The 26,234-nt window shown below is 36.8% G+C and overlaps 1 protein-coding gene across 3 annotated transcripts in view; it reads right to left on the bottom strand.

Annotated features, from left to right (window-relative positions):
* NF1 (neurofibromin 1) overlaps window positions 1-26,234 on the bottom strand; it is a 282,699-nt gene that overhangs the window by 134,279 nt on the left and 122,186 nt on the right. For 2 of the 3 annotated variants that reach the window (NM_001042492.3, NM_000267.4), the window contains exons 14-29: window positions 24,279-24,392; window positions 21,468-21,547; window positions 19,830-19,953; window positions 18,147-18,302; window positions 16,713-16,962; window positions 16,106-16,179; window positions 15,791-15,874; window positions 13,932-14,372; window positions 13,423-13,562; window positions 13,015-13,137; window positions 12,472-12,555; window positions 11,208-11,324; window positions 10,516-10,697; window positions 10,184-10,395; window positions 7,625-7,786; window positions 7,376-7,479 (exon numbers count right to left, since the gene is read on the bottom strand). In NM_001042492.3, coding sequence (NP_001035957.1) covers window positions 7,376-7,479; window positions 7,625-7,786; window positions 10,184-10,395; window positions 10,516-10,697; window positions 11,208-11,324; window positions 12,472-12,555; window positions 13,015-13,137; window positions 13,423-13,562; window positions 13,932-14,372; window positions 15,791-15,874; window positions 16,106-16,179; window positions 16,713-16,962; window positions 18,147-18,302; window positions 19,830-19,953; window positions 21,468-21,547; window positions 24,279-24,392 — 2,447 coding nt within the window. Of the gene's footprint in view, window positions 1-7,375; window positions 7,480-7,624; window positions 7,787-10,183; window positions 10,396-10,515; window positions 10,698-11,207; window positions 11,325-12,471; window positions 12,556-13,014; window positions 13,138-13,422; window positions 13,563-13,931; window positions 14,373-15,790; window positions 15,875-16,105; window positions 16,180-16,712; window positions 16,963-18,146; window positions 18,303-19,829; window positions 19,954-20,632; window positions 21,548-24,278; window positions 24,393-26,234 lie in introns of those variants that run through there. The other variant, NM_001128147.3, reaches the window with a different exon arrangement.

Below are 26,234 nucleotides of genomic sequence, written 5' to 3'. Positions count from 1 at the left end.
AACGAAAGGACGCAAGCCTGGCTGGGTTTGCTACCTGCTGACTGTAGAGCCTTTGGGCCTTGAGTGAACATAGGTGGTAGTCAGGCAGCAGTACTGCAGGCCTTGGGCAAGACCCAGTGCACTCCCAGTGCTGGTGTCCACAGGGCTGCTTGTGTCGCCCCTCCCCCAGCTCCAGGCAGCTCAACACACACACACACACACACACACACACAGACAGAGAGAGAGACTGACTCTGTTTGTTTAGAGGAAAGTAAGGGAAGAGAAGAAGAGAACAAGAGTCTGTTTGATAACCCAGGGAATTCTCCAGGATCTTATGCAAGACCACCAAGGTGGTACCGCTATGAGTGTACAAGAGCCACAGCGTTATTGGGCTTGGAGTGTCCCCTAAAGCAGATATAGCTGCAGTGACCAAAGACTTAAGATAACAACACCCAAGTGCCTTCAAATACTTGGAAAGCCTTCCCCAGAAGGGTGGGTACAAACAAGCCCAGACTACAAAGACTACAAAAATACCTAACTCTTCAATGCCCAGGCACTAATGAACATCCATAAGCATCAAGACCATCCAGAAAAACATGACCCACCGAAGGAATTAAAGAAGGCACCAGTGATCAATCCTGGAGAGACAGCGATATGTGACCTCTCAGACCGAGGAGTCAAAATAGCTGTTTTGAGGAAGCTCAAGGAAATCCATGATAATGTGGAGAAGGAATTCGGAATCCTATCAGATAAATTTAACGAAGAGATTGAAACAATTACAAAGAACCAGAGAGAAATTCTGGAGACGAAAAATGCAGCTGACATACTGAAATATGCATCAAGAGTCTCTTAAAAGCAAAATTGATGAAGCAGAAGAATTAGCAAGCTTGAAGGCAGCCTATATGAAAATACACAGAGGAGACAAGAATAAAGAATGAAGCATGCTTACAAGATCTAGAAAACAGCCTCAAAAGAGCAAATTTAAGAGTTACTGGCCTTAAAGAGGAGGTAGAGGCGGAGGGTGCAGTGAGCAGAGGTTGCACCATTGCACTGCAGCCTGGGCGACAAGAGTGAACCTCCATCTCAAAAAAAAAAAAAAAAAAAAAAAAAAAGAGAACTTATGAAACCTAGGGAAAGATATTTATCAATATTCAAGTCCAGGAAGGTTACAGAACACCAAACAGATTTAAACCAAAGAAGATTAACTCAAGGTATTTAATAATCAGACTCCCAAAGGTCAAGGATAAAGAAAGGATCCTAAAAGCAGCAAGAGGAAAGAAACAAATAACATACAATGGAGCTCCAATATGTCTGGCCCCAGACTTCTCAGTGGAAACCTTAGAGGCCAGGAGAGAGTGGCATGACATATTTCAAGTGATAAAGAAAAAAAAAAAACTTTTACCTTAGAACAGTATCCAGTGAAAATATCCTTCATATATGGAGAAATAAAGACTTTCCTAGACAAACAAAAGCTGAGGGATTTTATCAATGCCAGACCTGTCCTAGAAGAAATGCTAAAGGGAGTTCTTCAATCAAAAGGAAAAGGACATTAACAAGCAATAAGAAATCTGAAGGTACAAAATTCACTGGTAACAGTAAATACACAAAATATTATAACACTGTAATTGTGGTATGAACTACTATCTTGAGAAGACTAAAAGATGAACCTTTTACAAATAACTACAGCTTTTCAAGATACAGACAGTATAATAAGGTATACATAAAAACAACAAAAAGTTAAAAAGTAGGGGGATAAAGTTAAAGTGTAGAGTTTTTATTAGTTTTCTTTTTGCTTCTTTGTTTGCTGCTTTATGCCATCAGTGTTAACTTGTCATCAGCTTAAAAGAATGGCTCATAAAATATTATTGGCAAGCCTCATGGTAACCTCAAATCAAAAACATACAACAGATGCACAAAAAATAAAAAGCAAGAAATTAACACATATCATCTGTGAAAATCACTTTTACTAAAGGGAAGGCAGGAAGGAAGAAAAGGAGGAAGAGAAGACCACAAAACCACCAGAAAACAAATAACAAAATAGCAGGAGTAAGTCCTCGTCAATAATAACACTGAATGTAAATGGACTAAATTCTCCAATCAAAAGACGTAAGAGTGATTGAATGGATTAAAAACAAACAAAAATAACCCATGACCCAACAATCTGTTGCCTACAAGAAACAGACATCATCTATAAGGAAAAACACAGACTGAAAATAAAGCAAAGAAAAAAGATATTCCATGGCTGGGCATGGTAGCTCATGCCTGTAATCTCAGCACTTTGGGAGACCGAGGCGGGTGGATTGCTTGAGGTCAGGAGTTTGGGACCAGCCTGACCAACGTGGTGAAACCCTGTCTCTACTAAAAATACAAAAATCAGCTGGGCATCGTGGCAGGCACCTGTAATCCCAGCTACTCAGGAGGCTGTGGCAGGAGAATCACTTGAACCCAGGAGGCAGAGGTTGCAGTGAGCCAAGATCACGCCACTACACTCCAACCTGTGTGACAGAGCAAGACTGTGTCTCAAAACAAACAAACACACAAACAAAATACACATGGCAAACAGGTACATGAAAAGGTGCTCAACATCACTGATTATCAGAGAAATGCAAATCAAAACTACAATGAGATATCACATCACCCTAAAGTTGCTTTTATCCAAAAGACGGGCAATAACAAATGGTGACAAGGAGAAAAGTGAGAAAAGGGAACCCTCATACACTATTGGCAGGAATGTAAATTAGTATAATACTATGGAGGACCATTTGGAGGTTCCTCAAAAAACTAAAAATAAAACTACTATATGATCCAGAAATCTCACTACTAGGTATATACTGAAACAAAAGGAAATCAGTATATTGAAGACATATCGGCACTCCCATGTTTGTTGCAGCACTATTCACAATAGCCTACATTTGGAAGCAACCTAAGTGTCTGTCCACAGAAGAATGGATAAAGAAACTGTGGTACATATACACAACGGAGTACTATTCAGACACAAAACATGAGATTCCTGTCATTTGCAACAACACGGATGGAACTGAAGGTTATGATGTTAAGTGAAATAAGCCAGGCAAAGAAATACAACATCGTGCGCTCTCTTATTTGTGGAAGCTAAAAAAATTAAAACAATTGAACTCATGGAGATAGAGAGTAGAATGATAGTTACCCAGAGGCTGGGAAGTGTAGTGGGGGGTGGGGAAGGGGAGACCGGGGATGGTTAATGTGTACAAAAGAATATAAATGAGATCTGGTTATCTGATAGCACAAGGTGACTACAGTCAACAAGAACTTATTGTACATTTAAAAATCACTAAAAGAGTATAATTGGATTGTATGTAACATAAAGAAACGATAGGCCGGGCACGGTGGCTGACGCCTGTAATCACAGCACTTTGGGAGGCCAAGACAGGCGGCTCGCCTGAAGTCAGGAGGTCAAGACTAGCCTGGCCAATATTGTGAAACCCTGTCTCTACTAAAAATACAAAAATTAGCCAGGCATGGTGGTGGGCACCTGTAATCCCAGCTACTCGGGAGGCTGAGGCAAGGAGAATTGCTTGAACATGGGAGGCGGAGGTTGCAGTGAGCCAAGATAGCACCACTGCATTCCAGCCTGGGCGACAAGAGTGAAACTCTGTCTCAAAAAAGAAAAAAGAAAGGATCAATGCTTGAGGTGATGGACACCCCATTTACCCTGAAGTGATTACTACACATTCCATGTCTGTATCAAAATATTTCATGTACCCCATAAATATAAACACCTACTATGTACCCACAAAAAAATAAAAATTAAAAAATAAAAAGATCTAGCTTTGCGTTTCATTATTTTTTTCCTATTTTTAATTTCATTGATTTCTGATTCCTCCCCCCATCTTGCTTTAGGTATTGCTCTTTGTCTAGTTTTCTAAGGTGAGAGCTCAGATAATTCATTTTAGATTTTCTTTTCTAACATACATTTAACACTGCTAAGCAACTGCTTTTATTAAACCCCACAAATTTTGATGTATTTTCATTTTCATTTATTCTTCTGTTTGTCTTTGCATTTCAGTTTGGGAAGTTTCTCTTGATATAACTACAAATTCACCAATTCTTTCTTCAGTGGTGCCCAGACTACTGATAAGCCCACTAAAGGAATTCTCCCTGTTACAGCTTTTTTCTCTAGCCTTCTCTTTTGATTCTTTCTTAATTTCCATGTCTCTGCTTACATTACCCATCTGTTCTTACACACTGTCCATTTTCCATGAAAGCCCTTAGCATATTAGTTATTTTAAACTCTCAGTTTGACAATTTCAAAGTTCCAATACATCTTGCCACATCTGAGTCTGATTCTGATGCTTGCTTTGTCTCCTCAGACTAATTTTTCATTTTTTGTTAGCATGCATTGTAATGTTTTGTTGAAAGCCAGACAAGATGTATTGGGTCATAGGAACTGAGGTAAATTGGACTTTAGTGTGAGGCATTCTGTTAATCTGCCTAGAAGTTAGGTTATGTTTAATGTTCGCTGTAACTGTAGGCGCCCATTTCCTCTAGTGCTCTTATTTCTGTCTCTTTTGTTGTCCCTGGGTTTCCCCGTTAACTGGGATACTGGGGAAGGGAAGTACTCTACAATCTGATTATATCTCCATTGTTTTATTGGGCCAAATTCCTTAAAGTGTGACCTTCAAAGAGTTTCTTTTTTTTTTTTTTTTAGACAGAGTCTCGCTCTGTCGCCCAGGCTGGAGTGCAGTGGTGCAAATCTCAGCTCACTGCAACCTCCACCTCCTGGGTTCAAGCGATTCTCCTGCCTCAGCCTCCTGGTAGCTGGGACTACAGGCACGTGCCACCACACCCAGCTAATTTTTTGTATTTTTAGTAAAGACAGGGTTTCACCATGTTAGACAGTATGGTCTCGATCTCCTGACTTCGTGATCTGCCCACCTCAGCCTCCCAAAGTGCTGGGATTACAGATGTGAGCCACCAGGCCAGACTCAAAGAGTTTCTTAGCCTTTTCTCTCTTCTTACAGAAACGCTAGAGGGGGCTGGAGGTGGCTAACTTCTAAGTCAAATAAAGCTCTGGTAAAGTAATTTCTCCTGAGGGCAAACCTTTGCTAGGGATAACAGAACACTGTGGTCATATTTAAAAATGGCTACTTTTCCCCTTCCCCTGCCCAAAGCATAAAGGGATTTTTCTCCTATCTTCACCATGAGAGCCTGATGAGGCTTCTGGAGGTAAAACTTACAAAGGTGCAGGGGTCCCTGCAAGACTAGGCCCCTAGGAGTTTTAACTCTCTAGGCACTCCATGCTCAGCCTCCAGCAACTCGTCAATTATGATCTAAGCTTTCCTACCAGTTACTGGCTCCAGCAGCTTCTTCTCCTGGTAAACTGTGATTCTCTGTATACATTTACCTGTCTCTCCAGTTTTTGGAGTGGACTTAAATTCTCTGATGGATCTAAGAGCTGCTGATTTTCAGTTTTTTAGCTTTTTTCATGTTGTGAACACAGGAGTGTTGACTTTCAAGCTCTTGACATGTCAGAGTGGGCCTCAGTTTGATTTTAAGCAACCTGAGTATATTGTTTGCCATCTAGTTCTCTTATCTGGACCACAGCACTTTGTATAGTAAACTTATTTGAAGCAGCTGGTTCACTCTCTAAGTAATTCTTTAACCTTTAGAAAGTAAAATTGCTTAATAATAAGATTCAGTAAAATTGTAGGGCACAAAATTAACATAAAATCCGTAATAATGTATTATGTACACTTGAAAATTGCAAAAAAAAAAAAAAAAAGTAGACATGAGAAGTTGTCAAGAAAAAAACTGAAAGTGCTTAATGGCAAGAAAATACAAGGCTTTACAAAACATTGCTTTGGCCAGGCGTGGTGGCTCACATCTGTAATCCCAGCACTTTGGGAGGCCACAGCATGTGGATCTCTTTAGTCTAGGAGTTTGAGACCAGCCTGGGCAACAAGGCAAAACCTCGTCTCTACCAAAATACAAAAATTTTGTATTTTGCATGGTGGTGCATGCCTGTAATCCCAGCTACTTGGGAGGCTGAGATGGGAGAATCGCTTGAGTCCTGCACAGGAAGGTTGCAGTGAGCCGAGATGGTGCCACCGCACTCCAGCCTGGGTGACAGAGTGAGACCCCATTTCAAAAAATAAGAAGTAAATAAAAATATAAAAATTGCTTTTAAGTTTTTAACTATTTTAACAAAAATTGGCTTAGTGCTGGAGTTCTGAATAGATATTACAGTTGATACTTCAGCAAATGCAGAGCCAAAAATATCAACTGATACACAGTTGCTAAATAATGATTATTTAGGAAGAACAATCATCAAGAAGCTCTGAACTTAAAAGTAAAAAATAAAGTCCTAACTGAAAGACAGACAAGAACATCTTAACATGTGGCTTAGAAAAAGCAAGCATAAGATATTCCGTTAAAATTCATTCACTTAACAAATATTTATAAAATGTTCACTATAAGGCAGACACCATGCTAAATATTCATGGAAGGATATAAAGATGTAAAAATGTAAAAGAGCAAACAGTCTAGAGGAGAGAGAAACTCATAAATCGTCACAATTGTTACAATGGTGGTGCACAGCACAGAACAAAGCATATTTCTTTGTTCGTGGGTAGTACCTGGTAACAAGCAGAGAAAGCTTCACAGAAATGGTGGTTTAAACTGCACTCTGGGCTGGGCATGGTGGCTCACACCTGTAATCCCAGTATTTTTGGAGGCCAGGGCAGGCGGATCACCTGAGGTCAGGAGTTTGAGACCAGCCTGGCCAAGATGGTGAAACACCATCTCTATTAAAAATACAAAAAAAAAAAAAAAATTACCTGGGCGTGGTGGCGCACACCTGTAATCCCAGCTACTCAGGAGGCTGAGGCAGGAGAATCACACGAACCTGGGAGGCAGAGGTTGCAGTGAGCCGAGACTGCGCCAGTGCACCCCAGCCTGAATGGCAGAGTGAGACTCTGTCTCAAATTTTTAAAAAAATGACAAATAAATAAACTGCAGCCTGCATTACCTATTAGCCTCTTTCCCTTCTCCTAAGTCACTCCTCATCATAGAAGAAGTGAGTTAGAAAAAGAGTATGCATGCAAGTGACTGCATATGAATATGTAAATGCATGGAAAAAGGACAGGGGAACAGACTTAACTAGTAACAGTCTCTGGAGGTGGAAGTCAAAGACACCTTTCTCTAGTTTGTCCCTGGATCTAAGGCAAATAAAAGGATACCTTAAAAAAAAATTACAGATATCATTAAAGAAACGTGTATTTGTATATAACTTTTATAATTAAAAACTAATTTTAATGATCAAGGGGAGAAGGTGCCTTGCTTCATGCAGTGTTAGTAAAACAAACAAACAAAAAAAAAAAAACAAAAAACAGCGGTTCTATGTGAAAAGATGACAAACCTGGTAGGATCCACTTCAAAGCTAACATGTTGCCAATCAGAGGATGTGATCACAATTCGTAATAAAGGATCCAGGAGTTTTTGTAGATAGGTAGCACCATATACCTACAGAAATGCACGAATAGGAGTTTATTATACCTGCTCCATATATTTTACCTTAAAAGAAGACAATCAGCCCTGCACATTCTGTACATAATCATTACTTGACATACCTCAGCACACACATACACACAAAATGAATGATACAAACCTTGAAACAGAATGTCATTATTTTACTGGCCAAGCTGTTGCCTCGGAAGAGAGTCTGCATGGAGTCTGCCAATTCTACTTCTTTAGAAAACATGTTCCAGAGCAGTTGGTAGAGTAAATGCCGAGAATCAAACAGAGTAACCAGAACTCGAGCTAGTTCATCCTGAGAACAAAACAAAATCAGGTTAGTGCAAACAATCCCATTTTTATTCTTAGGTAGGAAGCTAAAGAGTAGCAAAAATGTAAACCCAAAGTTGACAACCACTTGCTAAATTAAGGCAAATGATGACTGATTAATATTTATCCTGAGATTTAACAGTGTACATTGTTTATGATAGATGACTATATACAATGTCTATGATAGCTGTTAATTCCAAGGATTAACCGGTAAAAGCTATTAAGAGAGGCCTACGCTTTACTAGGAGACAAAATCTCCAAGATTCAGCTCAAATTACATCACAAAATGAAAGAGAGCAGAAACAGAAGATGACAGCAAAGAATTTAGTTTGATTTGTACAAGCATTTGCACAGAGCAGAAATAAGATTGATGATCAGAAGAGTTCTACTCTCTTCTCATACAGTCGGGGAACTCAGCGAATACTGAATATATACTAGGCAGAGACACAACAAAAACAGAAAGACTATAGGATTTTTGAGAAACCAGGAAGAAAAGGAATTGGGCATTCAGAACCCAGAGATGAGCCAGATTTACATACAAAGCTAGGGTCACAAGGATGAGGGCTGAAATTTCTATCTATTACCTAAATGACATCCTTTATAACTCTCTGTAGTAAAACAGTTTGGGGTACACTCAAGAAAAAATGATCTAATGGTAAATCACTGTTTAATCACATGATAAGAAGAAATTTATAGATAATAGGGGTAGCCATAAAAAGATGCCTCAATCCTCAAGCAGTAACAACAAAGGCCAGGATCATGGCTCATAGCTCTCTAATTCTTGCCTGATCCAAGGATTACAATAATGTGGTAGGTGAGATCTGGCCTAACAGAAAATTCCTTCTCAAAGTCATTTAATATAAAACTCAACGAATTAAAGCTACTTGAACTAAATGATTCTTTTTTTTTTTTTTTTTTTTTTTTTTGAGACAGAGTCTCGCTCTGTCGCCCAGGCTGGAGTGCAGTGGCGAGATCTTGGCTCACTGCAACCCTCCTGGGTTCACACCATTCTCCTGCCTCAGCCTCCCAAGTAGCTGGGACTATTGGCACCTGCCACCACGCCCAGCTGATTTTTTTGTATTTTTTTAGTAGAGACAGGGTTTCACGGTGTTAGCCAGGATGGTCTCGATCTCCCGACCTTGTGATCCTCCCGCCTCAGCCTCCCAAAGTGCTGGGATTACAGGCGTGAGCGACCACACCCGGCCCTTAACTGATTCTTTATTTAAAAAATTACTATTTTCAGTGCTAATTATAGGTAGATGCTAATAAGATAATTCAGAATATCCATTTTCAAAACATTTGAACATTTCTGAAATTTAGGCTTCAAGGAGGTTTCAATAATTTGGGGCTGTTGCTAATCAATGAGTATAAAATTTCAGTTATACAAGGTAAGTTCTAGAGATCTGCTGTGCAGCATTGTGCCTACAGACAGCAATACTGTATTATACACTTAAAAATCTGTTAGAGGGTAGATCTCATGCCAGGTGTTCTCACCAAAATAAAATACCAGAAGAGAAGCATTTCAGGTGGTGGCAGCAGCAAGGGTGCTCTAAAGCAGAAATAAGTCTAACAAGGAGGGACAGAAAGGTAGCTGGTGTGGCTCTGGTGAACAAGAAAGAAAATAGCATAAGATGATGTTAGAGATGAGGTAGGGCCCAGATCAGGTAGAGCCTTGTAGGACAGGGTAAGGAGTTTGAATTTTACTTTAAGTACAGGTATAACAAATACAGGCTTGTTAACAAGGACAGATTACCTTATTAGTCATAATTTACTATAACTGAAATCAGTTTTGGTACACTAAAAAGCAAATAGCCTTTTAACACTGGAAAGGAACAACAACCCGTCTCAACGTTTTAGCATGTATTAAGAATGATGTGATTTTAGGAAAATTTTTCATTAAATTAAGAGAGAGACATAGCCATATGACGCTTTCAGTTTTTAAAATAAACAATATCATAATATCAAATGCAAATATAGTGCTTAAATTTTTAAAAAACTGTATGAGACATTATGGGGAAAAGAATAGCAAACTGGAGGTAGTAAACAGGCACAAATCGTGGATTCCAATTCCAGCATTGCAACAACTAACTAAAATTAGGTTTAACCTAATTACCTTATCAAATATATGAAGACACCAGAGTAGATCAGTGATTTTTAATGCGTTTAAATGGAATTTTTTAGTAGGATGAAATGATACAGAACACTAGTCAGGTCTAGTGGTGCCAACCACTTCCCTACAGCTGAAAAATCACCTAACTAAACATCTTTCTTCTGGCTCTGAAATTTTATCAATTCATTCAACAAACATTTATTGAACAAATATATTCTGAAGGATTTGCTATGTGCCAGGCACTTTTCTTCCCCGCTTACTCTAATCACTTACCCACTGAGAACAAGGAACCACATTGGCCAGAGCCATCGCTATAGGGAGTTCTCCTTGATCACCCATCATTGTGACCAGTTCCACCAATCTCTCAAACCGATCAGCCAATACTGTTTCTGCAAGTGTGTCAAATTCTGTGCCTTGTTGAAGGATTTTTGTCAGAACTTCCATAAATGTAGCTCTTGTCTGGAGATCCTTGTGGTAACCTAAGCCTAATGTGGACAAACAGATGCAAATTTACTAACATGGCCTTGCTGAAGTAATTTTTGCTTCTCTTACATGCCAGTTCTCTAGGTTTTGTATTTCTATATGAAACTTTCATTTGATCTCACCTATGGAGTGCATGAGACCACTGTCTACGTTGGCATTGAGTAAGTTTGACATTGCAAGGACCGTACAGTGCCTCAGTGATGCCAGCCTCCGAGACATGCCACGTTTCCTGCCACCTGTTTGCGCACTTTCATCTTCAACTTCACTGCAGTCATTCAAAAGGTTCATAAATAATGTGAAGTATCTGAGAAATAAAAAGACTGACCTTTACATAGTGAAGGCCGTATCAACTAGAAAGCTAACCAGACATTCCAAAACAATCATATGTGCATGGTGTGAATGGCCCTGGGTTAACTGTTTCTCTCCTCTCTCGCGATAATCAGCCAGGGTGGCTTATTATGAAGTGTGCTATGTTGGACATGATTTTACCTGATATAGCCTAGTATACCTTTCATAACATTAGCATCAAATAGATGCAATATTACCTGGTAAATGTGTCACTTTTAATGTTAGTATATAAAATTAGTGGTCCAAACAGCTTAGACAATGTCACTTTTGTAAATGACTTAATGAAGCAATCTGGGTTTTATTATAAGCAAAATTTCACTGATCATATTACTTTCTTTAAAAAAATCACAAAACACAGTTATTTTCCTATCCTAGTCCTGTCATGGGTATTATTTCTTTGCTTTTTTTGTGTGGTGGGGGGCTTTATTTGCTTTTTGCTTTATGTTTTTTGGTGACTGAAATTTACTTAAGAAATAACTGTGATTTGGCTTCCATCAATTCCACACCATCTCCTTCTTCAGGCTGCAGAGGGAGACCAGCTAGAAGTGAAACTACTGCTTCCATGCTTGCCTGGTCCAAATCTCTGAAAAAAAAAAAAAAAAAAAAAAAAAATTTAGAGACCATGAATCTTTCAAGTTCTTTCACTTCCCCTCAAATAAACCTCTTACTAACAGATATAAACCTTAGGAACTACCTATTTCATTAAACAAATTATTAGCACAACCCAAATAATTTGAGTTAATATGCAGATCCCAGAATACAAAATCATCTCAAATGGGGAGAAGGTAATACTTACTTTCTACAAAGTAATCTTGGCAAAATGGCTACCTTAAATCAGAAGCATGTACAATGGGCCCTCTGTATCAGTGAGTTCTATATCCATGGATTCAACCACCCATGGATTGAAAATATTTGGGGGAAAAAAAAGGAGGGTTTCATCTGTACTCAACATGTACAGATTTTTTGTTGTTGTTATTCCCTAAACAATATGGTATAACAAATATTTATACAACATTTATATTGTATTAGATATTATAAGTAATCTGAAGATAATTAAAAATATATGGGAGGATGTGTATAGTTTATATGCAAATACTATGACATCTTAAGTCAGGGACTTGAGCATCTGTGGATTTTAGTGTTCATGGGAGTAAGATGTGGGCAGGGGTTTGGGGAGTGGTTCTTGGAACCAATCCCTGACAGAGAAGACTGTATTATAAAGCTAGGCTTGGTCAAAGAAACATATGTGAATGCTTATTATACAGTCCATAGTGTTTAATCATTTTCTGATATGTGTCAATAAGTATCATTAAAGCAGACTTGATTACTTCCTTTTTTTTCTGTCTCTGGTGCTTGAATCAGGAAATCAATTATTTCTTAAAAAGATTCAACACAATGAGTTCCTCAAATAATACCTTTATCTATCTAATCATAACACAAATGCAATCTGAGGCTTTATGTATCTTATTTCCCAATAACTGTAGACTATTCTTCATAAACTGACAACACTAACTTCCCAAACATATCACTCTTTCACATTTAATTTTACTGAAAGTCTATCAGTCAAAAAAAAGCAGTAATAAAGATTAGCATCTTTACATATTTCAAACACAAAAGTTTGACATCTCAAAAGTTTAAATACACACAAAATACAAGTATAAAGCTGTAATTAAGTAGTTATAACTCTCACAGTAAAACCCACTAATACTTGAAGGTCATTCTTTTTTTACCTTGTAAGACATTTTACATCATCATCTGCTGCTTGGTTTGATGTTCCCATAACCCAGTCTGTCAGGTATTCTACCATCTTATTCCTATAGAATGGTGGAGAAAAGAGAAACAGCAAACAATGTTTTTGAAGCCACACACACACCTTTAGTCACGTAAGATTTCTTATAGTGCAAATAATTTGCCAGATAACCTAAGTGACATGACGACTTTATAAAAGAGATACTGCTATCACAGACATAAAAGCCAGAAGGGAACAAGCAACATGGATATTTATCCTCCATCATGGCCCTTAGTTATGGTATCAGATTGGAAATAGAATCAAATTCTTAGCTCAAGTATAGCACAGTTTTAGAAAAAGGGAGCATTGTCACAGGCACAAAGCTTAGGGAAATTTGAGAAGAGATGTAGAGAAAAACAAACATGTAAATTGCTCTCTTTTCATGTCCTCCTTTCTACCAATAACCGCATATCTACTCTTTTTCTGTACTTCATTGGACATATTAAGATTTACAAGACCCTACATTGCTCTTTTGAGAACTCACCTAAATTTCATCTCTTGGCAAAATGAGAGGTCATCTCTCCTTGCCATCATTACTTCAACTAATTGACACAGTTTCGTTTTTATTTGAATTGCATGGACCATATTCCCAAGCACACGAACATACCTATATAGACATAGAAACAATAAAAAAATTATCAGATATAGACAAAAGAGAAGGCATTCTAAATACTTTAGTCATCAAGTAAAACGAATTAAATGTAAGTTTGAAAACAATAAGATATTTATTTAGAAAAGAACGTACACAACTTCTGGCTACCTTACTGTCACACCCTAGTTTGTGTGCAGTAAAGAATGGCCAGTTATTTTATCAATTACTACCAGTATCAGTGTGTAAGAGGTTTTTCTTATCTCTTAAAATGTTTCTGCTACATTTCAGTAGAATGCTTACCTGACCAGATTTAACATCATTGTTTCAATGCTAGCTTGCCCTAGATGTTCAGAGCTGCCTTCAGTATGATTATCTAGCAAGTTCTTCATTATAGCTATGGTTTGTTCTACAAATTGAGTATTGGTATCAGTCAATAAAACCTAAAGAAAGAACAAATACATTAATGATTTGCCATCAATGCCCAGAAGACAGACCCCCTAGAGAGATGAAACTGACTGATCTAAACACACAGAGTAAGTGCACCCACAGGCATAGAGCCAAATAAGCATACAGATATACGCAGACACTCGTACCCATACACAGGGCACGTATACCCTTAGGCACACATACACACCAGAGTTCCTAAGAGGCAAGCTGACCCCTACATTGAGATGACTCTTCTTTCTGCAATTTTTTGGAAATTTTTAAAAACTGTGAGTACCTAATTTAAATAATCTGAAAGAAAAAGGCTTATTTCAAACAAGTCACTCTATTCATAGAGAAAGGTGAAAAATAAGAGAACACTTTACCTGTCCTTGGGAGTCAAAAAACTTGCTGATGGTATTCTTCAATTTGTTAAATAGCATTGGATACAGAGCAGGACTCAATTCTAGACCCACCAGATCCTTAACATTGGTCCGTATTTGAAGTCCCACTTTCTCATGGTTACACACCATTAAGGACAACAGCCGATCCATAAATTTGCTGACAGGTGTATCTGCGTTTCCCTCTGAAGACATCACTGAAATCATAGAACCCTTACGTTCACTGACTGGACCCATGGGTGGGCTATAGGTTGCCAGGCCAGAATTGCTTCTCTGCTGGAGGCACACTCCCCCAAGGGCACAAAGGAAGCCAGTCATGTTGATCCATTCCTGTAGGGAGTCTGTGTCAGACAAATCTATGGATCCTCCTCCACTCACATGGGACATTCGCCTCTTAACAATGGTCTTGTGAAGGCTTTCAGCAGCCTAAACACAAAATTTTTGTGCAAAGCATGAATTAAACCTTAATTAGTTGAGACTTGACAAATTATGCTTTATCCAACATTTCTTCCATGACAAAAGTACAAAAAATGTAAAATATACATTAAAATCAACCCATAAAATTACCATATACATTTTTAAAGAGCCACTGATCTATTTTTATCATACACTAATATAATCAGCCGAGTGTCAAATTTCTTTTAAAAAGTTTTGATTTCACATGGATGAACCTTGGAAACATCATGCTAAGTGAAAGAAGCTAATCACAAAAGCCCACATATTCTATAATTCCATTTACAGAATATATCCGGAATAGGCAAATCTACAAAGACAGAAAGTAGATTCATGGTTGCCTAGGGCTAGAGACGTTGGGGGAAGAGAGGCAAGAAAGTGGGTGGGGGGTGGTTAGAGGCAGAGATAGCTAAAGGGTACGGGGTTTTTTTCTCAATTGATGAAATTGTTCTAAAACTTGATTGTGGTGATGGTTGCACAACTCTGTGAATACATTAAAAACAGTCACTGAATTGGACACTTTAAATGGGTGAACTGTATGGTATGTAATTATATAAAACAGTTATCCCCCCAAAAGCTTTCATTCTAAAGCTACATGTCCCCTCCAAATAAAGGTATTAGGTACACACATTTGCTTCGTAAAAATATAACTTTTTCCTATTGTAATTAAGCATGACAAAAACACCATGGAGGAACAACCAGTTTTTATAAATCACCTAATAATGAGAGCAATATGAACATTACAAATCAAATACACACAAACACTAACTGATCATTAATTTCCAAAGTAACAGATAATATAGTCAATAGTAATAGTTGAATGAACTGTCCACATTTTAAAATTTCATTTACTCTATGGGATCAATCTACTGCCTAAGACATTCCTTAATTAGAATACCTAACAAAATAGCAAAATGAATTGTTTCCATGTTAATTTATCTCTACCTCTGTTGCTCCTTTTCTGAAAATTCTGTGAAACACCCTGATGAAGGGAGAAAGAGCAAGAAAAGGTAAAGAAATGGTCTCTGCAACAAACAGTCTCTAGCAGTGCTGCCCAGTATTTCTGTGATGACAGGAACATTTTCTCTCTCTGCTGTCCAATAGAGTAAGTAATTGTCATATGTGGCTACTGGTACTTGCGATGTGGTTACTATATGATTGAGGAACTAAATTTTATTTAATTTTAATTATGTTAAAATTTAAGTTAAATAGTCACACATAGCTAGTAGCTACCACATTACAAAGTACAGGTCTAGATAAACCACAACTAAATATCAGTCTTCACACAGCTATATGTTTACTTTACTGAGCGACTCTTGAAAGATTATCAAAGTGAAGTACATATATTTAGCAGATCAGTTAACAGACAAAAGTCAACTTTACAGACTTACCTGGCCATCTTCCATTTTGGCTTTTGGATAGTTAAGGATTAGCTTTGTTGCTTGTTCCCATTTTGCATGTGTATCTTCCCAAGCCTAAAATGAAGGCAATTATCACTTGAAAGCAACTTAGTCTAGAGCTAAACATCAATCAGCTACAGCCAAGTTTCAAACTTGATGTATATTAAATACTCAGATATTATACTTGTAATATGCACGTATCTTGGATTTACTTCAAAAGCTATTCCTGATCACACATATGTAACAAGAGGCTTCCAAATTGAGGGTGGGCGCCTGGGAGGGGTGTTTCTGTTGCTAAGGGCATACCTCAGTGTTTCCTGCAGTGGGATGCTCAATGCGCCTCAGCAGTGCCATCACTCTTTTCTGAAGTGCTGCTCTTCCTAAGCAAATACAACAGCAAATCAAGTTACTGCACTTAGAGCCCTGCCTGCCAATGGAGAACCTGATAAGCTCCACCCAAAAGGAGTAGGAAGAGCAGAGCAAATGCTTCAAATGATAAAGCCAAAAACTTCCTTTCACTAACCTCACAGGAAAGGTACTTATCTTGGACTCTACAATGTCCACAGAATAAAATAGCTATTCCCACCTACAATTTACTCAAAACATACGCCAATGTTTGTAAAACTTCACTATCTACAACTTAGGCAGAGTAAATTACATAATCATAACTGATAGTAACATCTACTGCCAGTTATTTTTAAAATGTATAGCATATTAACAACTCAGTGGAAGACTAACAATTTATTTCAAATGCTTTTTATTTTCATCTTACTTTGTTCAGAAAAGGATTTCAAGTAAGCTACTTGAATTTCCCCTGTAAACTTACAAAGTAGTGACCTTAAATACATTCTCAAAATCAGATGCCATGTGCTTTGAGGCAGACTGAGTAAAAAAAACCACTATTCACATTTACCTGTTGACATCATATTGCTGACAGAGGCAAACTCCATGAATGTGTTATAGTTGGGCAAGAGGTTATGCACTGACACTTCATCCACCCCACACCGGATATCTGCTTCCTCACAGAGGTGGCGGAAACAGGACATGGCAACCAGAACAGCTTCAGTGTCAGGGTTCCACAGAAACATGTACAGGGCCACTTCTAGTTTGGTCTGGGCTTGTCGGCAAATCGGGGGGGTTCCGCTGCATCCTGCTGCACTATCCTGAGAGTCAAGGGTGGAAGACATATATTTGCAACTTGGGTAATTTTATGTATAAAATCTAACAATGCAATAAACTGTGTGTGTGTGTGTGTGTGTGTGTGTGTGTGTGTGTGTGTCTCCGCATACAATAACTCACAAGAGCTTTTTCCTTTAATCATTATAGGAATTTTTCAAACCCCAAAATATCTTGTCCAAATGAGAAATGAGATTATCTGGACCAACATAATGCTACCATCTGTTCAATTTCAAATCAAATAGATATTATCCTATTCCAGATTCCAGAAATGTAAACTGATTCTAACATGGACAGGTAAACACCATAACGTAAATCTACTGCAGTAACAATATAATGTACCTCCCAGTCAATTAGAAATGACAAAAAAAGAGGAAGTAACAGGAAATTCTATCTACTTGCTATAGGGAAGTAATAAAATAAGTACACTGCAGCACTCATTGAAACAAGGGCATAAACAAGAACTAAATATTGCTGTAGAAGATACATTTGATTCTGAATTACTTATTCTCCAAACACGAAATGGAGAAAATAATTGATAAAATAAATGCAAATTCTACAAGTAAAACAGACATTAGTAAATATCATACTGCTTAGGTGTTTCTTCCTTAACAAGGTTGCATTAAAAATTAGGAATGAAAAAAGTTTTGGTTTGGAAAATAAACTCTTCTGTAATGATGTGATATTTTCACTTGAAATATGATTTATATTTAAAAGAAATTATACACACAAACACAAATCACAGAAACACTTATCTTTAACATGAAGCAAAATACTTTGTTTTTATCCCTGTAAATCTGTACCTTTGTTAGCCGGTACGAATTCTATACTTCTGTGGTATGAATGGGTTTTTTATGGAGTGGAGGTTTATAATAATTATAATTATCAGATATAGCTTGTAAGTGTCAAGTGCTATTTACACATCCTTTTATTTAACCCTCTTTAACAACTCTGGGGCAGGAACTATTACTGTCCCCATTTTAAAGTTGAGGAACTGAGGAACAAGGATGTTAAGAACTTGCCCAAAGTTCCACAAAGAGCAGTAATAGAACTAGATTCTAAGCAGTTTTTCACTATTACACTATATTACCTAGATGAAATTTACCAAATTTCATTCAGAAAACAAACAGAGCACATAAAATGATACAGAAAAAGTACAGAAGAAGCTGACCATAGAGGAGTTCCCTTTTCCCTTCCGGAGAGAGGCTCCAGGAGTACGTAGTAATTCTTCATGATCCATGGACATTTGACTGGTATTTCCACTAGAAGGAATATCACATCCTACCCCGTAAAAAAGGAGAAAGTGACAGGAACTTCTATCTGCCTGCTAGAAAAAAATAAATAAATAAGCTTTACTGAAGCACTGACAACCAAGAGGAATAAACACTTATTTGAGTTGTCTTCCTGTTTGAGACTCTCCTAAAAAACCTCTCCTCTCAATCTCTATGCCCCAACTTGAAGGAGATTCACTAGAAACCCATTAGAACAAACAAGGTTTACTTAATTCTTTAAAATTTCTTTCAGTTTCCCATTCTCTAAATCATCAGAAACAGTAGATTCTACAAATATAAATTAAGTCTGACATAAACATGAGTAAAACATCAACAATATAAATCTACTGTATGAAAACTATAATTTGATCTCAATGACAAAGATTTTTTTTCCATAAGATTTTATACTGTGCCATGTTGGGATAACCAGAAATTGGCTCTTGAGATTAAGTTCTTCTGGACCAGTAATTAACTCTGGTATGTATATACACCAAGTATGTCACAAGAGTGACTATGCCTACCAGGGCACTATGAATTCATTACTGGATTCCTCATACTCACATTCTGGAGATTATACCATAGGCGAGGCCATGAAAGTCTGAAGTCTAATCTCTTTCTGTATCTTTGGAATAATGCCAAATTCCACTACATTAACATATCAAATAAGTCACATGTGAATAAACCCACTTCACCATTAGTCTATTTCTAAAGAGACAATTTATTAATAACAAGCTGTAAATACTGAAAAGGATATGAGTTTCATACATTTAAGGTCTTTCACAGCTATGCTTCTAGTACCAGATAAAAACTCATTAAATCAAGTACTCCGAAAACTAGGCCATAACAGAATTCCTAAATTGATTAATTACAGAAACTATATGTTAAAAGAAATTTAAGGCTCTTCTCTATCTTCCACAACCTCACCATGTTTCAATAGTTCAGAATCAAAACATTTCACTCCACCCCAATGAAAAAGTCTCCTGATATTTTCAAGAGGTGAAACCCTTATTGGAGGAATCGAAATAAATCTAGATTGAGGACCCTCAACTGTTTCCCTTTTGCTTCTTGATAGATAATTCTCTGGACTAGTCTAGCCATGAGATCTAGGTCTTTACGATTTCTCAGAGCTATGATTCTAGAACTGGACAAAAACCCATTAAATCAAGTACTCCCAAATCTACGCCATAATAGAATTCTTAAATTACAGAAGCTATATGTTAAAATAAATTTTATGTATGAATTATGTCTTATGTATGAACTTAAGAGTAAAGATACAATATGCTCCTCAAGCTACTCTGGTTATAGCAGCCCCCACTTTTCCTAGGCCTGCCCCATAGAGACCTATTTAACTCAACTAGAACTAGAATTCATCAACAGTGTGGTTCTAAGGCCAAAGCCTCAGAATAATTTTTAAAATGCTGATTTGCCAGTCATTGTCCTCTGCATACATATTTCCTTTTGAGAACATTGGGAGGAAGGAGAAGCTGAAATAGAACCTAATTTGGCTATAAAACACTTTAGTAATCTCTCACCATTACCATTCCAAATATTCTTCCATTTTTTAAATATGTCATTTTGCTTACCTTATTTTTAAGAAGAAATTTATTCCTGCAGATCAATATTTCCCGCAACCACTTGAGAATTTCTGTGCTACTAAGCATTTGATGACTAGTTAATTTCTTGCAGATGTAAAAAAGCATTTGTGAGCTGCAGTAACATAAAGTTCATTGTTACTAGCATCATCAATAACCTAATGCAGATATAACCAGACATAAGAATGGCATTCTCCCATAATGAATACAAGTTTAGAGAAGCTTAGTTTTTCTTGTAAGGTTTTAGAGAAACAGTTATCAAAGTGTCAATAGCATTATAATCAAAGGAAATAAGTCTACAGGTTATAGAAAAAAAGCAAGTATTTATCTATAAGCCCCCTATGTTTCATTAAACTCCCAGTGTTTCTATCCATGTATCTCATCCTTGTAGTAGACATAAGAAGAAACAATAAACCACATGCACAGCAGAGACTGCCTATAAACCCAGTGCTCCACAGTGGGGGTCTGCAAGCTACCATCCACAGGCCAAACCTAGCCTATCACTTGCTATTGTAAATATACAGTTTTAGTTAAACACAGCCATGCCCGTTCATTCACATGTCTGTGGCCACTTTCATGCTCCAAAGGCAGAACTGAATGGTTATGACAGAAACTATATGACCCACAAGCCCTAAAATATTTACTATCTGGCCTTTTAGAGAAAAGTTTCCTGATCCCTACTCCAGAGCTGCACTGTCTAACATGGTAGCCACTAGCCAGCCACACGTGGCTATTGAGCACTTTAAGTGTGGCTTGTTCAAATTGAGATGTGCTGTAAGTATAAAAGACACACCAAAGTTTGAAGACTTTATTAAAAAAAAGAGAATGAAATGTCATTAATAACTTTTATATTGATTACATGTTGAAATTATAGATAATATACACCGGGTTAAACAAAACATAATTACAATTAATTTTACCTGCTTCTTTTTACTCTTTAATGTAGTAAGTAAAAAAGTTTTTAACATATGGGGTTCTCATTATATTACTAGTGGACAGCACTACTCTAGAGTAAGGTTTAATTCAGCTGCCAAGTAACTTAGCACACCCATTCTTATAAGATAATGGCAAACTTGAGGTTTACACATTTACATTTTCCTCCGTGTGGTGACTTCATGCTCATTAAAATGTAATGATTTGTATAATCTAGGAAGCAGACCACAAAATTCTGCATACATTTTTTTCTTCTAAGCAGGTGTCCATTATTAATTCATTCATCGAAAGCATTGGTATTACAGAAAGTTTATGAAAGATCATAGTTCAAAAAACTGAAAAAACAGTATTGTTACAAAATTTTATCATTCTAGGCTTATAACTATGAAAATCTATTAAAAATACAGTAGTAACCACATTGAAATCTGAAAAAAGTAATATACCAAACAACAGTACTTATGTTAGGGTGACAAAATTTAGCACTATTCTTAAAATTTATTTTCTAAATTGCTGTGATACTTTTCTTACAGTTAAAACAAGAAATTCTAATAATTTGAAGTCAAATAAAATACAAAACCATAAAACCTTTGGAAGTGTAAGTTTTACAATGTACTAAGTACTACAGAGTTAATATTTCAAGACAAAAATACAAAATAAAATTTAAAAGTTGAATTTAAAAAATAAAAGTACATATACCTAATCTCCCAAAATGTTTCTACAGGAGCATCAGGATTCCACAAATCAATGCTATCTAACTGATGAAGAACCAGCAGAGCCTGAATTTTTTAAAAAAGAGAAAGACAAAGAGAAGACTCACTCAAACATTTTTGGTAAACATAACACTGGAGTACTTATTTTATAAATGCTAAGAAATTGAGCTCTTTCATTTGTAGTTTCAATATATAGTAAAAGGTAAAAAGAGAGAAACTCTGGTGAACACAAACCTCTAGGGAATAATACAGACAGAATGAAATCATTTTATTCCCATCATTCTGACTCTAACTGGCATGTACATATAAAGCTAAATGATGAATTCGGAACAATATATAACTGTAAAAACTGCTTTAAGAAACAAACAAAATAATTTCAATAGATATTAAAGAACTCTATGAAACAAAAAGCTAATCCCCAAGTAAGAAGGCTTGCCAAAATTAATACACACAGCAAAAGATTTACTTATCTTTTAAGTTTTTACTTAAACTGTCTCACTTGCCACAAAGTCTCTTGTAACAGAAAAGAGCAATTATTTTTCAAAATCAAGAGAGAGGAAGCAAAATGGATTCAGTATTTCATAGCAGATTATCCATTCTAAAGTATTTCAATTGACCACAGAACTGAAGTTGGAATCTGGCTCAGAGAACACTAACGGGAATTAAATAATTCATTTACAATATATAACATATAAATAGATTATTATATAAATTAAAACCATCAAAGATATAAAAAAAACACAAACTCTTCCTTCGAACTGATCTTATCTCAACTCCAATTCTACAATCCCAATTCACATTCCTCCCACCATCCCTCCACCCCCAACCCAGCAGAAACTGTGAAGCTCTGGACATTTCTTTCAGTCCTTGGTCAACATATCAACATTTAAAGGCCAGACCCATATTATCTTATTTCAAACATTTTTATTGTAATTACTTTGAGATATTTAATGAAAATTGCAATTAATTGTTGAGAATCTTAAAAAGCTATATAATTTATAGCTCTCATATCAAGGAAAAACAACACAAATTAAAATTCAATTTTGCTACTATTGTACAAAAACGTGGTACAATTTACTGGCACTAGTTTTTTTAAGTGACAAATTCTCTATATTTTTGTTTGATAAAACTTTAAAAATACATATTGAAAGAAAATGTGTTAGCCTTTTCCAGGCTTTAATTTTCTTTTCATATTGCCTTCTTTTTTTTGTATTTTCCATGTTTTAACAAAGCCATAAATGCAGTATACTCACTTGACATTTCATATTTTTCCATATTGCTGTGTGATCTATATAAGTTTTAATAAATGTTTAACAGCTCACCAAGTTAAAATAGCATTCTCACTATTGAATATTAACCCATTCTCCTCCCAGTAAATAAAGCTCTCTTAATATTCTATTATAATTAAGAGCAATAAGTACCTATGTGTGCAGCTTTTTCCTTTTGAGTTATATTCATAAGATTTTTAAAGTGATAGAAATTGAATTATTTGCATAAAAAAATGAAATGTTTGTATAGCTCCTGCCAAATAGCCTTCCAAAAAGACTACAAGAAATGTATCAATTTACGGGACCAATAGCAATGTACACAAATGGAAGCAATGATTACGTAGTAAGTGCTAAAATATTTTTATAAACATTTTTACTGGGTATGTATAAACATTTGTACAGTATGTACATTAGGATGGCTACAATCAAAAAGACACATTATAAGAAGTGTTAGCAAGCATACAGAACTATTAAAACCTTCATATGTTGTTACTGGGAATATAAAATGATACAGCTGCTTCAGAAAAAGAGTTTGACAGTTCCTCAAAAGTTCGACAGAGTTACCACACGACTTAGCAGTTCCACTCCTATATACTTAAGAGATATGTCCACATATAGACTTTTACACAAATGTTCATAGCAGCATTATTTGTAATAGCTAAAAAGTAGAAACAACACCAAACGTCCACCAACTGATAACTAGATGAACAAAACAGATCCATACAATGAAATATTTGGCAATAAAAAGGAAGAAAATAGTGATTCATACCACAACATAAATGAACCTTGAAAGCATTAAGTCAAGGTAGCCAGACATAAAAGGCCACATATTCTATGATTCTATTTATATGAAATATCTAAAACAAGCAAATCCATAGAGACAGAAAATAGATTAGTAGTTGGTAGGGATGAGGGAATGGGGAGTCAAGTTTCTTTCTGGGGTGATAAAAATGTTATGGATTAGAGAGTAGCTATAGTTGCACAACTGTGTGAATAAGAACTACTTAGGGGGGAGGGGGGAGGGATACCATTAGGAGATATACCTAATGCTAAATGACAAGTTAATGGGTGCAGCACACCAACATGGCACATGTATACATATGTAACAAACCTGCACATTGTGCGCATGTAACCTAAAACTTAAAAGTACAATAATAATAAAATTTAAAAAAAAGAACTACTTAAAATGGCCAAATTGAGGGTATGTGAATTATGTCTCAATTTAAAAATTAGTATTTTTAATATTTAATAATAATATTTTTAAAAATTTTAAAGTCAACTGCAATTAGAAAATCTCGAACTATTTTATTAAGCATCAGAATTTGTACAATGTTATTGCTATGTGATACAAAGCAAGTAAACCCCTTCTTTCTCCATGGAGTTTTATAAAACAATGTATAGACATAAACATACCATTTCCAGAAATGACATCTACCTGTTACTCACAGAAACCACACACCAAAGGAACATCATGAATGTACATAGTTACAATCTTTCCTTCAAGAACATGGAATTCATTTTCCCCTTACCTCCATTGCTTCCTGAGCAATCTCTGGCATGTGTGACTGAGGGACCAGTTGGACGAGCCCTGTAATTAATTCTGCTGTACTGCCTTGGGTTTCGGGCCCCTGTTTTCTTGGATTCTGCAAGGAAAAAAAGGAAACTTCAATTAAAAAAATAAATAAATCGAGAGAGATTAGAAGGAGGAAGAAATAGACAGTGACTGCTAAAGGGTACCAAGTTTCTTTTAGGGGTGATAACAATGTTCTAGAACTAGGCTGGACGCGGTGGTTCACGCCTGTAAGCCCAGGACTTTGGGAGGTAGTGGCGGGTGGATCACCTGAAGTCAGGAGTTTGAGACCAGCCTGACCAATATGGTGAAATTCTATCTCTACTAAAAATATAAAAATTAGCCAGGCGTGGTGGCATGCGCCTGTGGTCCCAGCCACTTGGGAGGCTGAGGCAGGAGAATCGCTTGAAGCTGGGAGGCGGTGGTTGCAGTGAGCCAAGATTGCACCGCTGCACTCCAGCCTGGGTGGCAGAGCGAGACTCCATCTGGAAAAAAGAAAAAAAGAAAAAAGAAAAAAAAGAAAGAAAGAAAAAAAAGTTCTAGAATTACATAGTGGTAATGGTTGCAGAACCTTGTAAATATACTGAAAACAACTGAATTGTAAACTTTAAGATGGTGAATTTTATGGTATGTGGGTATAGTATTTTTATCTCAATAAAATAAAAATTTTATTAAATCAAAACTTCTTTTGTTAGGGATTCTTTTAATCCACATCTATACTTGTTCATTAATGTGAATAATGTCCAGGGAAAATCCTAATGAAAACAAAAACCACGAATTCCCATTAAAAATTACATCAACAATATGAGGAATAATTTTTTTTCCAACAATAGTAAACTGGCTAAAGAACGTATCTCTGGTTTGGAACTTACTGGTTTTGAGCTTATACATGATTGTGATCAAAGGTAAAGGACATACATGTTGGATAAGGATTGCATGATTATCCTGTACAGCCCTCTTGACCCATACAAAGGTCCTGCCCAAATCCACACAGCTGGTAACAAAGCAAAGGCTAGAATTTGCATCGGCAGATACCCATACTTCGGTCCTTTTCATCGTGGAAAAATATAGTGTACTAAGCAAAGAAAATTAACGTTATGTAAAAATGTGAATGCCTACCTTTTTTTTTTTTTTTTTTGAAACGGAGTGCAATGGCGTGATCTCGGCTCACTGCAACCTCTGCCTCCTGGGTTCAACCGATTCTCCTGCCTCAGCCTCCCGAGTAGCTGGGATTACAGGCATGCGCCACCACGTCTAGCTAATTTTTGCATTATTATTAGAGATGGGGTTTCACCATGTTGGCCAGGCTGGTCTCGAACTCCTGACCTCAGGTGATCCACCTGCCTCGGCTTCCCAACATGCTGGGATTACAGATGTGAGCGACCACGCCCTGCCGAATGCCTACCTATTTAGAGACTAAAATGTTTCTCTTAACTTGGAAGCATATATTTGCACTTCAAGAATATATGGTTTGGCCAGGCATGGTGGCTCATGCCTGTAATCCCAGCACTTTGGGAGGCCAAGGCAGGCGGAGTGCTTGAGGTCAGGAGTTCGAGACTAGCCTGGCCAACATGAAGAAACCCCATCTCTCCTAAAAGTACAAGCCGGTTTGGTGGCGGGTGCTTGTAATCTCAGCTACCTGGGAGGCTGAGGCAGGAGAATCACTTCAACCCAGGAGGCGGAGGTTGCAGAGAGCTGAGATCACACCACTGCACTCTAGCCTGGGCAATATAGTGAGACTCTGTCTCAGAAAAAAAAAAAAGAAGAATATATGAAGCCAATGCAACTTGTGTCCCATATTTTATTTTGCTAACTATAGATTTTTCCCCATTATAATGACTAAGGTAAGCCCTCACTGCAATATATCTGTAATTCAAAACCGTTAGCTTATTTTCTGACATTCATATAAATTCAT

This window comes from Homo sapiens, chromosome 17 (assembly GCF_000001405.40).
Source record: "Homo sapiens chromosome 17, GRCh38.p14 Primary Assembly".
Classification (NCBI taxonomy): Eukaryota; Metazoa; Chordata; class Mammalia; order Primates; family Hominidae; genus Homo; species Homo sapiens.
This window is presented reverse-complemented; position numbering and strand designations above follow the sequence as displayed.